This window comes from Homo sapiens, chromosome 15, assembly GCF_000001405.40.
Source record: "Homo sapiens chromosome 15, GRCh38.p14 Primary Assembly".
Classification (NCBI taxonomy): Eukaryota; Metazoa; Chordata; class Mammalia; order Primates; family Hominidae; genus Homo; species Homo sapiens.
The window spans coordinates 60,765,719-60,783,790 of NC_000015.10; the positions used below are offsets into that span (position 1 = coordinate 60,765,719).

An 18,072-nucleotide genomic window follows, 5' to 3' on the forward strand; every position below is an offset into this window, starting at 1 on the left:
CATAAACAAGACCTCTGTGGACCTCAGAATAAAATGTAAGATCTTCAGATTTCCATCGCATGATTTCACCAGGCCAAGGCAGCCCAGCTTCATTTTTACGTGCACTGTGGTTCTAAGTATTTACAGTGGTGTAACCCGCTCCCCCACCTAACCCCCCAATATCGGTACTTTACTCACTCAGCTTCTAGTGAGAAGAATAAACAAAAAGAATCAAAGAGAAGAAGGCAAGAAACCGGGGACCAATTTTCAGCTCATCCTTTCCTTCTTAAAAGAAGGAATTCGCCTGCAGTGTCTGTAATTTAGAAGGTTTTAATGAATGGCTTCTAAATTATTTATTACGCATAGAAAGCTGTAAACATCCCTCTCTGAACCATTATGATATTATCTGGGCAGGAGTCAAAAGGTTCAAACATTTGGCACTTTTCACTGGACTGTTGTTGAAAATAGTTCTGCTCTGTGAATGTAACTTCTCTCCTTCCTTGTTATATGGAATTGTGTGTGAGCCTGTGAGCCTGCGAGCCTGTGTCTGTATCATTCACTTGAGATCGTCAAAAGGCATCCTGGCTTTGTAATTTGCTCTTTTGCAGACTTTCGACTTAATAAGAGATTCCAAAATTAGTAAAAAAAAATATAATAAAGTAAAATAAAGCCAATTTAAAAAGCCTTCGACAGAATATACAAACTGGATATTCAAGCAGAAGTGTTTGAAATGCCTCAGCCTCATTTCAAAGAGCTTCCTGCTGTCAAGCCCAAACACCCAGACAGGTAGACTGCTGTGAAATATGTAGGCGATGCCTGCTGCCTGATTTTCAGATGGCGAGGAGGCATTTGAAAGCATCAAAGTTCCCTGTATAGATGTGTGTACATTAATCCCTGCCTCTGTGATCTCTGCACTCGCCTATTGTAACTTGCTGTTTAATAGATTGCCAAACTTTGCCCTTCACAGACTGCACTTTTTTTTTTTTTCCCAAGGATCTGCTCCTCTCCCAGGAGCTTCTTGCTGGGGCCGAGTTTTAAAAGTTTTCATTCCTGGGCTTGTGCTATGGCATTGGGTCACTCTTTGAATTCTGCACTTTTGAACACCTCACTTGTTGGCTTGCTTTTCCTCGCCCCTGGTGTCGATGTCTGTATGTGGCTAAAGTCAGTGCCCTCCAACCATGAAGCATCTGCCATGAGCCAGCCCTGATACGAATCATTAACAACCACAGCACTAGCCCTGTAAGAGCCTGTAATGTAGTGGGAGAGAAGATAGAGATCAAAGGCTGTCAACTGGCAGCCCACAGGTTGTGTATGGCCCAAAGACATGTACTGTTTTGCCTACACTGTGTTTTAAATTCAGATTAGTAACTAACACAGAAAAGATGGGAAATTTCACTTAGAAATCTGTGCTTCAAGCTTCTCTTGGAAAATTGGAAGGTGTGATTAAATAGGGCTTCCTGCCTGCATGGGTCCTGTTTTAGTTGGGATATATATTTTTTTCTAGACTGAGGTGGTGGAACAGTTACCATTAAGGACCTCAGCCTTGGCTTTCTTGATATCTTGATGTTACCTGCTGGGACATTGGCCTTTTGAGTCTGTGGTCCATGATAAGGACACACACAAAGGCAAATACTAACTGGAAAATTTGGGGGATACCAGCAGGTACTCTAAATATGTCATCTCATTTGATCTTCTAAACACATCTACAAATCTGCCATTATAATATCCACTTCACACATGAAAAGTTGAGGCTGTTTTTAAGTACCTTGCCCTATTTCACACAGCTGACGATAGAGGAGTTGGGTGTGGAACTAGAGCTATTAGCTTTGAAGCATCCTTCTTTTCAATTAGAAAGGCAAGAAAGTCCCCAGGAAGGGTGCAATATGGGCTGCCAGATCTCACATTGTCTTCTCCCACTGAAACTCAACTCTGCTCTAGTCTAACCACACCACACTTCTCACTGTACCCGAGGTATTCTTGGTCATTTGATCACTTCTTGTGTTTGTGTATTCTATTCCCTGTCCTCACCTTCTCTTTTGTACCTGCAAACTCCCTTCTTGCTTTGCAAAACCAAGAATAATTGTTAGTTCCTTTATGAAGATTTTCATGACCCCTGGGTCAGTTTGTCTAACACTGGGGCTCCTAGAGCCTCCATTTCTACTCAGGTGTCTCGTGGTAAAAGGTCCGTACACTGGTGGCTTTTCACTGGACTGTCAGTTCCTTAAGGGCAGGGCCACATCTCGTTCATCACTCTACACCACCATGCCCAGCACAGATGCCTGATATGCAGGAAGTACTACTCCATGCAGGGTGGCCTATGGGTGGAGTTTTCCTGGCTGAATCACACACTTATCAAGGGCTCCTTGGGGGAAGTGAAATTGAATTGGAAGGGTCAACAGTAAATTCTATCTGTGTTTTCATTTGTTTTCTCATCCCCCATCATGACACCCTCGCTTATCCTCCAAACTTTTTGCTTAACAAGACTTTGCCGCTGCCTCCTCTTTTGCCAGATGGCAATGCACTCACTACTTCCAATACCCAGATACATCCATCAAGCAACTTCAAATTTGAAACACATCAGAAACTTGCTGGGCATGGAACAGGTAATGAGGAAATGGCATATGTGCACTGTGGGATCGTGATGGGGCTGTAAAGTTAATCAAGAAAGAAACAATTCCACCAAGAGCTTGTGAACGTACCTGAAAGGATGGGCAGGTTTGTCCAGGTGTGAGCCGTAGGCTGGCTGAATGTCTCTTTCTCATGTGGGTTATGGGAAACCAATATGCCTCCAAATCACTGGCTGGACCTCAACTGAACTTTCAGTTTTTATTTTCCACTCCCATACTATTTTTGAAAGCGTTAAATAATTGCCTCTACAGCTAAGCACTAAAGGCCTCATTTAACAAAAATCAATATGGAGCAGTACAAGCATGGAATAAACCAAACCAGAGGCCAAAGCTTAAAATCCATCTCACAACTGAATCATAAGTGGTAAAATTAAGAGCAGGTGCACTGACAGACAGAGGTGAAGGCTGGCCTGATAAAATGGATTTTTGTTATTTCTAATGAACTCATCACATGCAGACAATGAGAAAGGACTGACCAGGTGGGAGGGAGGAGCTGACTTTGGCAATGATGTGTCTTCTCCACACAATGATTATTTCAAGAAAGGATGCAGAGTAGAGGCTGTAGTACATTTAGGGGAGTTTCAATCGGCATTATTTCATTTCTCCTCCCTAACAAATCTTCACTGAATGTGTACTGCATGTGTGGTTATTTTTAAAACGTGCACAGTGAACACAGCTTGTGAAACTTCGGTCAACATCCTAATCAGGCAACTAATGCCCTATTCAAGATTGGTGTACGCTAGCGACCACATTTTAGAACGATTTTACCTGGTGTGAACAGAGAGTAAAGAAGGGCCACCCCTTTCCCTTAATAACAGGTTCTTAGCTGTTAGTCCCAGGAAGTAAAGCAAAGGCAAATGAACTTCCATGATAAATATTTAAGAAAAATAATCTTTAATTGAGTTAGAATGAAAGTAAATGTGCAAACTGCTATTTGAGATAACTGTCTCGATAAGCCTCTTGCAAATATAATATGAAGCAGAAAACCTGTTAACTCTTTTTGTCTCGTCTTTATTCACCAGGGTTAGGTGCTCTTACATGGTAGGGGGAATCTGGACTAGTAATATCTCGATGAAGTTGCAAAAAGAACAACAAAAAAAACCCATTTGGTTGAGCACTGTGAGCTGACATATGCACCTGTAAGCCAAGATAACTACAGAGCTGCTCTGCAAATTTGGTTAGGGTTTAGGGGATAATCTTAGACTAATAAAATAAACCATCCTTGAATGTTCTAGTCACCAGGTAGCAGAAGCCTGCTTAGGTCTCAGTGGATTCCTTCTTTCTGGTCTCATTGGCAGTTAGATATTGATGTTATAAACTCTCATGCCACGAGTGTGCCTCTCTGATGTCTGATATCCATTTGGAATCACCTCGGAAAACTCACTATTACCAGCAGTTTCTTCAAGCAGACCACCCTCTATGCTCCTGAATGTTCTCTGACCAGGCTGGGCCTTTCTTTTCCTCTAATAATTAGCCACCCATTGTCCCCCTCCAATTTCTTCCAACCCTGTTTCCTACCCCTTGCATTTTTCTTGCTTCTTTCATTTTCCCTGTGTATGCTGACTGCCTAGTTCCTCTTCTACTAAATTATGCTCTATTATTTCCACTGCCTGAAGAACTCACAGCTGAAGCATTATTTCTAACCTTATTTTGTATTCCTAGCATGTGCTATAACCTGTTTTGAGTTTTATTTGCAGCCAAGATGCTGACACAGCTCCAATTTTGTTTTCATATTTTGATTGGGTAGGAGTGTTCATTACTGTGGGTACTAGGGTAGGGAAGAAAAGTCATTTTAAAAAGGCACAATTTACACCTTCGTTAAAGGGCTTTTTGTTTCTGAATGCTGCCCATTTAAATTCTAAAAACTACAAATGTTCAAAAAAGATATTCCTTTTTTTTTCTTGGAGAAAAGAGATTTTAATGAAAATTATAGAAGTCCAATGTAATTTTCCTATTATGTTTTTAATGTTGTGCCTATTATGTCTGATCTCCTTTTGTGTTTCTTAACTGACCAGCACATACAGGCAGGTGTGGAAAGCCTAGAAGTCAGGGGTTTGTAAGAAATTATGTTTTCAAAGCCCAGTTCAGCTCTACATTAACCAGCCTTCCCAGGGACAACTGCCTCATTTGTGACATTATTGAATTCATGGTTCATATTAAGCTTATATCTCATAACCAGGTAATTCATGAGTTTCAGCTACAGGGAACCCCTTAGATGGGGCATAAAATTTCCAATGAGCTTTCCCATAAAGGAAAGTGTAGGATGAGTGAGGTTTCGTGCTCCTTTACGTTTGTTTGTTTTTTAGAGACCCAGTCTCATTTTGTTGCCCAGGCTGGAGCTCAGTGGCTACTCACAGGCCCAATCATAGTGCACTGCAGCCTCAAACTCCTGGGCACAAGAGATCCTCCTGCCTCAGCCTCCTGAGTAGCTGAGACTACGTGAATGCTTCACCATGCCTGGCTAGTTTTCACGGCTCTTGATGTATGATTCTCAGGCTCCTTTTTGGAAGAGATTTAATTTCATGGGACTCCTCTACTCCAAAATCTTCAAGAACTCCACAGTTAAGGTTGTCAGGTAAAATGCTAGATACCCAGGTACATTTGAATTTCAGATAAGCACCAAATAATATTTTTGTATAAGTATGTCACATGCAATATTTGGGACATAATTATATCAAAAATTATTCTTTGTTTATCTGAAACTCAAACCTCTCTGGGCATGTTGTATTTTTATTTGCTAAATCTGGCAACCCTATCCATAGCGCATAAGGGAACAAGCTTTAACTCTTAAGGTAGGACTTCTGGGTCCCCCATAGACTGACTCTCTTTTCTTTCTGCCTTATTTTCTGCTATATCCAACTCCCCCTACCCTCCATTCCACTGAGTTTGAGTTACTTTCCCATCTGGAATGCCTCCTTTCCTTCTCTCGCCCTGGATTATTCAAGACTGCCTCCTCAGGGAAGCCTTCCCTGAACACTCAGCCAAAAGTAATCTCTTGGTCTTTTTAGACCAGTGAGCTCGTTCTGTGTGGCCCATTCATTGGTACATCTCACACACTTGCCTGGGAGCTTAGCTATCATTTCATCTCTATACTGTATTCTTTCCAAGAGGACACAAGCTCTTGGGTAGCAGTGACCTTGCCTTATGTTTCTTTGTGCACTTTGCAGTGTCCAGCACTAGGCCTTTCATATAGTTGGTGCTCAAGGGATACCTAGTGATAGAAAAGGCCACTATTGATTGTCACCGAGCTGCTCTCTTTTGCAGCTTCATGTTTCTCACACTTCTTTCCCTGCATTGAGGGAAGGCTCAACCTGTTCTCCAGAATGTTAGCACGAACCCCATACATGAACTTCATCATATACCTCATTAAAAACTTGATAGCCAGGTTCATTTCCCATGGACAAGTGAATAATAAGTAATACAAAACACAGTCTTATGTGGGCAAGCCACTTGTTCTCTCTGTAGATCAGTTGTCTCATCTGGGAGAAGGGCCTGGTTCCTCCCCTACCTCTCAGGATCATGAGGATACACGAGATCTTGGAAAAACATAGGTAGCACGGTGCTGCAGTGCATTTAGTGATGAGGCCAAGAACATGGAATAAACTTCTCTAAGTATATTCTGTTTAAACTGGATCCTTGAGTTGCTCATGAGAATTTCAGGGTACATGCCAGCAACAAATTTTCAAATCATGGCTGACAAGGTGGGATTTTTATTTTATTATTTATTTTTATTTTTATTTATTTATATTATACTTTAAGTTCTAGGATACAAGTGCATAACGTGCAGGTTTGACACATAGGTATACATGTGCCATGTTGGTTTGCTGTACCCATCAACTCGTCATTTACATTAGATATTTCTCCTAACGCTATCCCTCCCCCAGGCCCCCACCCCCCTGACAGGCCGCGGTGTGTGATGTTCCCCGCTTTGTGTCCAAGTGTTCTCATTGTTCAGTTCAAGGTGGGATTTTTAAAATGACACAATTGGAGACAAAAGTAGCTGGCAAGCAGGTGGCAGGATTCTCTTGCTAACCTAGGGTACTAAGTCTTGGTCACTGGAAATTTATATTTAAAAACTACCTCGTGATTGCCTGGATTTTAGAAATATGCAAAAAATAAATTTCTAGGGAAAAATACCACAGAGTAATAATGTCAGCTTTAACTTTCTTTAAAAGCTGTTTTAAATGTTTCTCTTTAAAAAACTATTTTGCTTTTCCTCGTATGGGTACCCACACCTACCTTGTGTGAGTCATCATCTCATGCACCAGGGCTTTCAAAACGTGATAAGTAAAGCAAGACGTCTACTGTATATCTTGTTAGGAACTTGCTTTGCCTTTTTGCTCCTGTTGCTCTACAGAAAAGATGGAGCGTTCATGAATGGCAAGGTGAGCCACACGTAGGGGGCCGTCCTAGCCCAGACTGCCCAACACTCCTGCAAAACCTCATTTCACTGCTGGATCTACAGGCAACCCCTGCACTGCGATTCCTCCTCCTCACACCCACATTCCAGGCTCAATTAGTGGAATCCTAGTCTTATATCCACACCATGGCAGCACATTAAAATGTCTCCGATTAAGCCCTGGATTAGCATGTGCCCAGACTTTATCTTAATTGCCGATTAAGATTAATCCCGCCAGGGAGTTTTCCAGGGCTGCTTTATTACCATGGGGTGAATCATTACATAGTTTGAGTTGCAAGTTCCATTTAGCTTTCTTTGACTAAAATGGGAGACCCAGACTCTCTTGGCCTCTAAGGAAGGGGCTCTTTATTGCTTTCTGAAAACCTCCCTTGACAGCTCATTTGCACCTGAAGGTTGTGAGGATGAAGCCTTGATCCATCTTGACAAGTCTATGAAAACTGGAACACAGGGAGTCACAGGCTTTCCGGCGGGCTCTTGGCTTTAAAAATCTACAGTGAACTTTGACTTGAAGAATGATCTTTATATACTCGGTGCTGGCTTTATCATTCATAGTGATTTACTGAAAACCTTTTTTTTCTCTCTTTCTCTTGCTCTACATGGATGTACATATTTGTTTTCTGAACCGTTTGAGGATATAGTATATACATGGTCCTTTAGCTCTACATACTTCAGTGTGTGTTTCCCGAGAATGGGAATAATTTCTTACGCAATCACAGCTGAGTTATGAACTTCAAAAATTTACATTGGTACTTTTTACCAATCCTGATTTTACCAATACTTTTACTAATATTGATTTACTCCAAAATCTACTTCACTAAGTGATACCCCGATAACTATTAAGTCTGGCTACAAAAGAGAGAATTGAAAGCAAGAGAACTCTCCATGTTAGAGGTAAAGTGATGAGACCTAGAAAAGAGAAATAACTTAGTGAAGGTCACACAGTGGCAGAAGAGTCCAGACAAACTCAAGAACTCAGGGGCAACTTCTAGCCACTGAATTGATACGCACATAAAGACTCAAGAAAGGTCAGGTCAGTATCGACTCTGGAAACATCCAGAGCTACCGGGCCAAGCAGACTTGACACTACCCTACCTAGATATGGAAATTTCCCAAGGGCAGAGGCCAAGAACTCTGTTTTTGAAAAGGTGTGCTTCACATTTATGTAATACATAAGAAAGACTTGAGGATAGCTATACCTGTTTCACTGAAATACTTCTTTTCTCCCAGCTTTAAGATGCTAATTGTTCATGCAATTCTGTTTGGCTGTCTGGGGAGGCATAAGTCAGGAGCATTCAGCAGCAGTGTAGAGATCACTAACGTGGCACAGCTGTGAGACCCTTTGACAACAGTACGTGCCTTTGGCCTGACTCAGACTGGAGGACCTGGCGGACACCCACAGCCACGGCTTCTGGGGATTCCTAAAAGGGCAGTTCCCTGCTTTCTACCTCAGGGAACCTGATCATGTTATCGCTCTGAATGGGTTGGCTTTTGTCAGAGCATCTGGGTCAGGTGAGTCTGCGTAGTACTTTTCAATGTCAAGGCCAGTCATGATATTCATCGTCAAATCTGTGGCGCCATTCTGTGATGTCTCCATCTCAGAATCTGTCCTAATCCAAGAGCCAACAATGGAAATGGCTTCATCCTGAGAGGCCATCAACAGAGACTTCAGAAGGATCACAGAGGCCCAATCTCCTTCACAGATCCTCCACCAGACATCCCTTCCTAAGGACTCTTCCTCACATGGCTGTGGGTATTCCCGCTTCTGCTAGTAGAGTGTATGCCAAGAAAAGAGAAAGCCCGTCTCTGGTTTCCCTACCCTGCTTACTGCCCTGGGCGGCTACCAGTCTTAGTGGTATTTGGGAGTCCTAACGGATGCACCCATATCTAGGTAACACAAATACCCACAGTCTTTATCTTCCTTTACACTAAACTCATGAGATACACCACATTGGCCACTGGTATTTCTGAATGGACAGAAGTCATTTGCTGGTCTCTTTCTAAAGGCTGTAGTCTGCCACTTCCATGGTAATTTCATCCTAAAGCAGAGCCTAAGAATTGAGGACGAAAGCTTTCTCTTTTGTTGAACCCACAGCATAACCATGTTCCTTAGATTCTATTACAAAACAACCATTGGCTTTAACTGGAAACTTGAAAATTTAGGGTAATTATAGTATCAATTCATGATTACTCAACACATTTCCTCAACTTCCTTTGTGACTGATATTTTGAGTATGTTACTGTAACATTCGTTGAAGAAAGTGTGTTGTCCTGAAACAAGTGAGGCCTGAGACACCCCACACGTCTAAGATTTCTTACCTATGATTCATGTGGCTGCCAGAATATCTTTTACCTTCTTTCTTCTTTCAACCCTTCTCTCTTAAGTTCCGTAAACTTGTGTCGGGCTTCCTGAATTTGCCTTCAGCACTAGTAGTAACGTGACTCTAAATGGATGGGTTTTCCATGTTATTCTGGTCCAAGCTGCAAAAGATTAGATTCCCCACCGAGCCCTGATGGTGGTATTACTAGGCTTTAACTTGATGGGACTGACTTCGTTAATAGAATTCTCTCTTCAGTTGTTTGACTATGTTAATGTTGCTAGAAGGAAAAAAACCCCTGATTTTCCTATATGTAAGCTGTTTTCAAATTTGCGTGGGGGTTCTCTTGAACAGATCTGCAGTTTTCTTCCTATGGAGACACTACAATTAACACGTTCCTTTTTCTCTTTATAAAAACTAATATCTTGCTAGGCACTCCGCCAGGAGTACTGAAATTTAGTTCTGATAAAAATCCTTCTTGGATATTTCTGGTCTAAGCTTTAAGATCTCTTTTCCTTCTTTCCCTCTTTGCTCTTTTCCCCTCCCTGATTACCCCCTACTCAAGGCACGAGCACACACACGCACAATTCATTTATGCCTACCTTGGAACAGATCTGAGCCAACATATTCCCTGGGGGGAAACAACGGTCTCTTTTCCTATTAATGAACAGTATGGTGTTGCAGATTCACGGAGGGCTTAATTTAATAAACATGGAAAGATGAATATGCTTATGGGACATCAAACCTCTTTAGGTTTAAAATTACTGACATAGAAGAATTGTCTTGTGAAGCACCCCGTCCTTTCATGGCTGGGTCATTATGGAATACAATGCGGCAGGGGAAAAACATCTCCTACCTGGGGCTTCGACTCCTTCTACCCTTTGACTCCATCTCCTCCATCCCTAAGTGCCAGAGGAGGCGTCAGATGTGCAGAAGTCAGCAATAACTGTGTGTGAACTAGTTCAACCTCCAATTCTGTGGCTTAGTCCTTATCGGTAATTCGATGGGAACCTGAAACTTTGTTGAAGGGAAGGTATTTTGCTGGCTCGGCTAGAATTGAGTGTAGACAGCACCCACGATATTGTGATGACCAACCAGCTTGAGATGAAGGCACTCATGACCAGCTTGCAGGAGCAGGCCTCGTCCCAACTCCTACTCCCTTTCTCTCCCCGCCACTCTTATTAGACACACTTCAGACTGAATCTTCTGTGGTTCCCACCTCACTCTTCCCATTCTTGAGCCCCTTCCCCTTCATCTTGGACTAGTTTGTCAGATGGCTAGGTAATCTGGCAAGGTCTTCAGGAGAGGAGGGAAATAAAACAGGCGGAACTCTGTCCAGGCATTTAAAGACGCAAAAGGCTGCCTGCTGGGGAGCAAAGGCCTGGGAGGCTAGTGAGCACCTACAGAGAGCTGGGTGCTGGGGAGAAAGAAAGGAAGGAGCATCAGAGACTTCACAACCAGGCTTTCTTTAAGTACACGTGCTCTTCTGCTCCTTTTAAATTATGCAAACCAAACTGAGATAGGCACAGCAGAGCGTAGATCCTGCACTAAAAGGGTAAGAAGCTTGCAATTGAGCCGTGGCTGTAAAAGGTAAAGACAAGGTATGGGGTCCCCAGGGTTTGGGGTCCAGGTCTGGTTAGGGGAGTGGAGTTCTTGTAAAGAGTCCTTAAATCTTTCTCTAAACCAAGGACTGTCTAGACATGGCATCAGTAACAGTGCAATTACCGTCTTTGGATTTATGCAGTCCTATCCTTACCATTCTGTTTAAACCTGCAACCTGCCTCCCTTTTTCCTTGCCCTATTTTTCCTCCTTCCCTTAGCACTTATCACCTTGTACCACTATACAATTTATTTATTTCTTGTATTTACTGCTAATTGTCTGTCTTCTCTCTGCAGAAATATATGCTCCTCCAAGACATGAGTATTTGTCTGTTTATCTTCATTGATATATCTCTAGTACCTGGAGTAGTGCCTAGTTAATAATAGGTGCTGAATAAATATTTACTAAATAAATGAATGAATGTTATTACTCCTTACAAGCTGTCCCATACTCTAAAACACCAGGAGCCCTTTAAGACGAGCAAAAACAGAGCCAAAATAACTATGCAGAAACAAAGCATAAGAATGTTCACACTTTAGTCTTCTCTAACAAAGTATATTCCAATTAGTTAAGTGAAAAGCTGAATACAAAACAAAATAAGACCCGGAACATTAGCTCAGGAAGAAACACGGATACGGAGAAATCACAACGAGCAGCCTCATGGTATCATGGAAAATTGATAGCCTAGATATCACGAGACCCTGGTTACAGTCCCAGCTTTGCATAAATCTGTGTGACCTTAGGCAAATCACCTTGCCTCTCTGGGCCTCAGTTTTTCCAGTTAAGTTTGATTCAACTCAAATATTTAATGTGTGCTCATTTCATCACTTCTATCTCTAAAATGGCATAATCTTACCTAGTCCCACCTGATATTAAGATGCTAAAATAGCCTACTACCTAAATGTGATCATTTCTGCGAGAGAAATTAAGATTGCATGCCCAGCCCCCTATCACTGTGGGCTGCAGTCCCCAGATGGATTACACCTTCATTTTAACATCCTTATTCAGCACGGTAGGCATTTACTCTAAGAGGTGAAGTCGAAAGAGTCCCCTCATGCAGCAGAGTCCAGGTGCTCACCTCTAGTAACCACTTTGGAGAACCGAGAATCAAACCGCAATCTCGGCAGCACAGGGAATGAGTAAAATACCCATAGTCGAGGAGCGTATTGAACTGCTGAGCAAGGGGTGTGCAAATACTATTTCAAATGGCTTAAAAAGCATCACAGCAATGTAAGTGGGTTACGGTTGCCTCACAAAAGCACATCTGGAGGATCTCTTTGCTCTCTTGCATCCTTGAATATCGAACCCAGAAAAATAAATTGACGTGCTGTTTAATCCAATAGTCAATATGAGCTTCTAGTGTATAGACTCAATTGACTTAAAACTCAAGCTATAGCCTCCGGCAAGAAAAATGTAACACAACTGCGCAGGCTTGGTATTGATACATATCACAGGTAGCTGTTTCTTCAGCAAGAAACAATTATCCAATGCTCAGTGCTGAGGGATCAATGTGCTTCATAATTTCTGATGTGGCTTACTGAACAGCTGGGCTCAGGTTTTTGTTTTTGTTTGTTTGTTTGTTTGTTTGTTTTTTAATCTTTACGGGTCTGATGGCTCTCTAAAGGGATTAGGTTATTGTGATTTTTTTTTTCCCATGCAAAAGGACCTGCCTTTCTTTCCCTGTTCTAACGAAAGGGCACCCCCCACTGAGTTCCAAAGAGCCGTTGCCCCTTAAAGTGCCCTCTGCCATGCATTACCTTAGGTTATGTGGCAAACCTAACCCCATACTACAGCCCAGTTACCTCGGTGCAGACAACTGGCTGTATTTGATTGTTTTGCTGTTGACAACAGGATGGATTAGCAGGGCTAGAAATTAAAGTATATTGAGTATTCTTTAATGCCTTATGTACAAATTTTTCTGGCTGTCAGATTCTCTGTTTGGCTTTCTCGGGGCCTTGAAGGTAGGGGGTCAGGAACTAAGTGTTTTGAGAACTGACAGCTCCCTTTAGCGAAAAACAGAATTCTCCCACCCTTACCCCTTCCCAGTTCAAAGAACTGCTTCCTGCTTCTTTGCATGGAAGATAGTTACTGTTTTTCTCTTTCCCTTTTGAGTCAGGATCCCTGGAGAGCCTTATAAGAGCACAGTGTCTACTGGTTAAAGGGTAACCATTTTCAGGGAATTTGCATTAATCTGATTACATTTTATCTTCCTTCAGGGTGAGGGAGTGGGACGGACTGTGAGGTTTCCTTTGAGTTTCAGGTTTAGACACACCCCAGAACTCAAAGTAAAAATGATATAGGCTTAATAATAACTTCCCAAGAAGCCTTTTCAAGTTCAAAGTGGATTGTAAACATTAATTAATCAATTCCTCCTCCCAACACTGTGTGAGGTATGAATTACTCCCATTTTATAGACGAGAATGTTTAGGTAGCGAGCATAAATAACTCGTTTCAAGCCTAAATTGGACTTCTAGTCAGTAAGGCACAAGCAATTTGGATTGCTGTGCAAAGTGAAGGCTCATCAGACTTTTCTCATTCACAAAAATTAATGAAAACCCGTCCTAGGAACCCAAGGCTCGTTGTCTCCCTGGAGTGATCCGAGTGGCCTCTCCCAGGTTGGCCCAACTCTTATCTTTTTGCATCCTCAGTTTTCTGGCCAGAAAGAATTGCCTTCCTCCAACACAACCACAAGGAGTTCAGATCAAAGGCTCACCAATGGTCCATTTAAATGCCCAGGGCAGTCTAATGCATCTCTCCATAAGACTCCCTGAATGGAGGCTTGGGTTTTACCGGCCCAGCCCTGCCATCGAAGTCATTTGCAATCCAGGCTGCTCACTGCACCTGCTGCTGTGGAAGATGTAATAGGAGCAGGAAGCACCATAGAAGGGGAAATGCTGTTTGGCACAAGTAAGTAAACAGATAGGTTAACAGGCCAACACATCTTGCAGCCTTTCACTATATGAACCTGTTGGCTAATGTTAGTAATCCACACTTCTTCTACAAAAGTCAAGCTGGTGGTCACTTTGCAGGAAACTCTACAAGGTTTTTCTCAAGACAGTCCTAGCAATGAAGCTTCCAACAAACTTAACATGGTTCTACATTTCCCCAGGAATTGCTGTAAACTGATAAGCACTGATATTCTTTCCATTGACTAAAACATCATGATCAGTCAACTGAGGCCTGGGAGGAATGATCTTTGTGGCTCATATGCACCAAGGAGGTTTGCCTCAACTCGAAGGGTGGAGACACTCAGATTTCAGCCTTCCCTCATCAGAAACACATTTCCTCATTTGGATATGTGTTTTCCAAAGCACTTGGGGGTTTTCAGCAAATCTTTATACATCTCATGGAAGTAAGAAGAAAAAATACTCATACTTCACAGAATACATGTGACATGTGTCTGTTAGGTGGGGAGAGGGTGGGGAGGAGGAGTTTTAGCTGAGCTGTAATGAATATGAGAAATTAAAGATAAATAGAGGGAGAGAATTTTCTTTCTTTTTTGCCACGCTGGGAGTGGAAAAGTTTGGCCTAGTGGATCTCTACCCTGGCTGCTTATCAAAACCATCTGGAGAACTTTTGGAGACTCTTATGTCCAATTCAGTTCTACTGCATTTGCTTCTCTGGAACTAGGGCCTATGCGGGAGTATTTTTTAAAAAAGTTCCACATGGACTGGTGATGTGCAGACAGGCCTGGGAACCACTGGGCTGGTCTAGAGAGCCCAGTGTAGACAGTGAACATCCGCATGTAAGATACATGACCTGTCAGAGAACATTCAAGAGGGAAGTTCCTTTAAAAAGAATCAGGCGAGCTTCTCCTCGCCTAATAGCTTCCAACTAGCATCAGTGTTCAATTAATAATGTAGTTTTATTTGATGTTTCATGTGAGAAACTATTTAAAAACAAGAACTCTTTCATTCTTTTTTTCATTTAAATGGACTCAAAAGAAACAATTTGCTTGATAGATGAGCACAATGAGGGATTCTATGACCGTAAAATAACTGAAAATGAAAAATGATTAAAACAACAAAACAAAAACCACACTTCTCCATCTGCAATCCACATCCGTGTAGCCATGTAGTCGTAAAATTTATTGAGGGTCTATTGTGTTTCAGGAACTATGCATGAATCTAGCAGTGCCAGGGTGAGGCAGACACGGTCCCTACATGCTAGTGTCACCCATTCTAGCAAGGGAAGGGACAACCAAAGAGAAAAAGCACTCTGATAAAAGCTGATTTTTACTTGCCTCTTACCAGGGGTCATGCAATCTTCCAAGTGCTTTTTGTTCCATATCTCATTTTGTCTTCACAGTAACTTTAGTAGGTGGATTCTATTATTATCCCCATTTCACAGATGGGGAACTAAGACTTAGAGGACTTCAGTAACTTCTTGAAGGTAACAAAACCTGTAAAAAGGAGAGCTGCATCTTTTGGACTCAGTAGATCAAACATATACATCCGCCTCCTTCTGCTTCTTAAGTGCATAGAAGGTATGCTGAGGCTGGCTGGTCGTGCTAGGGTGGAGTGGGGACGACTGAGCCTATCCTTGTCTCTTGTTAAGTCACTGCTGCTCCAGGTGAGAACAAACTCATCTCTGGTGCCCGCAGCTTTCAGGGTTGGTGTTGAGGAATCCCCTTCCCCTTGAACTTGCATGCTTTATGGTTAGCAGTGCCTTTGAGGCCACACACATAAGCGAGGAAGGAAAACATAACCAGCCCAGAGTCCTCGTGCTGGGGCTTAATTTGGTACCTGAGAGTCATTCATTCCAGTTCCCGGGGCAGGACTCTGCCTGGCCTGCTTACCAGTGTTTCAGCAGCACGGAGGGGACCCAGCCAGCCCACAGAGTTAAGCGCAGCTGATCTGTAACTCCAAGTCATCTATTTATCCCCTAACCGTGCTGCTCCACGGGCAAGTGCAGGGACGGAGAACGCACGCTTTGCCACAGTTCAGTGAGCCGAGTGCAAGCTCCCTTAACTTGGCTGTGGTGTCAAGTCACAGTTATATAACCCCTGGGCTGAGTGCCTCCCTGGGGTGGGGGGTAGGGGGCGGGCAACGGGGGAGCAGGAAAGGCATTATTAGTATAATGTTAAGAAAACAGACTCTGACATCCTCCAGAGTTTGAGAGTCTGGAACTGTTTGTTTCCCATTTAGTTTGTTTCCCACTTTGTTCTACAATCTTCAAATCCCAGATTTTGGAGTCTGGGCAGCTGTGGGTGGGGAGCCCAGCAGCGTGAACTGGACTCAGCCCCTTTCAGGCAGTGGGCTTATTTAGCTTTAAGAAATGTCCCAGGCCGGGTACGGCGGTTCACGCCTGTAATCCCAGCACTCTGGGAGGCCGACGAGGGCGGATCACGAGGTCAAGAGATAGAGACCATCCTGGCCAAAATGGTGAAACCCCGTCTCTACTAAAAATACAGAAATTAGTCAGGCGTGGTGGCAGGCACCTGTAGTCCCAGCTACTTGGGAGGCTGAGGCAGAAGAATTGCTTGAACCTGGGAGGCGGAGGTTGCAGTGAGCTGAGATCGCGCCACTGCACTCCAGACTGGCGACAGAGTGAGACTCCAACTCAGCAAAAAAAGAAAAAAAAAGAAATGCCCGTTGCACGACTGTTTTCAGAAGACCAATGATTAAGAGCACGTGAAAATTAATGCACAAATACAGCTAAGGAAGTGTACCATATAGCTTTTGCAACCACTCTTTTGCTTTGAAAGTGTTAAAGTACACAACTGGAAAGATGGAAAGACCTGAGATTGACGGCATTGTAGATACTTCTGGAAACTTTTCAATAAGGACAGCAGAATAAACAAATATGTTCTCCTTTCACGATCTTTATTTTGGTAAGTCCGTTTCTCTTGGCCACAAGAATTACAACCATCTTTTCATTTTTTTAACTGCAAAGGCGGTCATATGATATGAAGTCACTCCATATCACAGAAATCAGTTGAAGTTTTATTCATGGAGACTCTTCCACAGCTGCCATCTGCCCCTCCCTCTATGAGAAGCAAAGTTTCCCGAAGACAACCCCTCTCTCAAATGTGGCCCTAAAACATTTTTAATGAGTAGTAAGAGATAAGTGAACATGTGGGAAAATGTTCATCCCTGCTAGTAATAAAAAATGCAAATTAAAGCAACTTTGAAAAGGTAACATTTCAGTTTTCGGAAATAATACCCTAATGCTGGCCAAGCTGCATGGAAACTGATAGACTCAAATGCTATAGGCATTGAGTTAAACCAGCATAATTCTTCTTGAAAGAAATATGGCAATTGGTAACCAAAATTATAAAGATGTGCATATCCCGACCCAGCAGCCTTCTCTGGGACTATACGCTAAGGAAATAATCTGACAGAAGCAAAATACTACACAAATTGTACTACTGCCTTTAATGATCAAATCTAATCACAGACATACACACAAAATTCCAGAAGGAGCCTAATGTTCAATAATGGGGGATGGCTTAGCAAATTCTGGTATATTGATAATGGAATAGTAAAAAAAAGAAATCAAACTGCAAATACAAAGGGGGTGCATGTAAGATCTAATGTCACTGGAATCAGAGGATTTACTTGAATGTTTTTATCTTTTTTTTAATATACCAAAGAAATAAAGGCTTTTGTACAGACTGTACTAGGAGGCCCTTAAAACAGCTGTTTTCTTGTCCACCTCATCTCTGCAAAGGGGTGTTTATTTCTTTTCTATTTAAAAATTAATTAAATTTTATTGACAAAAATTATATGTATTTATTGTGTGCTACACAATGTTTTGCAATATGTAAACATTATGAAATGGCTAAATTGAGCTAATTCACATATGCATTACCTCCCAAACAGTATTTTTTGTGGTGAGAACACTTAAAACACAAAGGGGCTTTTATTAAGGATTTTGAAAATGAAAATAATGAAATACAGAGGGTCACCAAGATCACGCTGGATACAGGAAGAAGGCTTAAAACGTCGCATCCTTGAGTCTCTGGTCTAAGTCAGGTCCTTGGCCTTTGAGTCTCACCTTTGCAGAGGACCTCTTCCATTTTCCCACATGGGATGACTTTGAAAGGTGCTAAAATGGGGCCCCACTCTCCTCATACTAGCCACATGAGCTCACATCCATTCAGGTCCTGGAAGTACCTCCAGTAAGGGC

At 42.4% G+C, this 18,072-nt stretch overlaps 1 protein-coding gene across 2 annotated transcripts in view; it reads right to left on the reverse strand.

The window, feature by feature from the left end:
- The window catches only part of RORA (RAR related orphan receptor A), a 741,019-nt gene that overhangs the window by 277,435 nt on the left and 445,512 nt on the right, over positions 1-18,072 (reverse strand). The window lies entirely within an intron of this gene.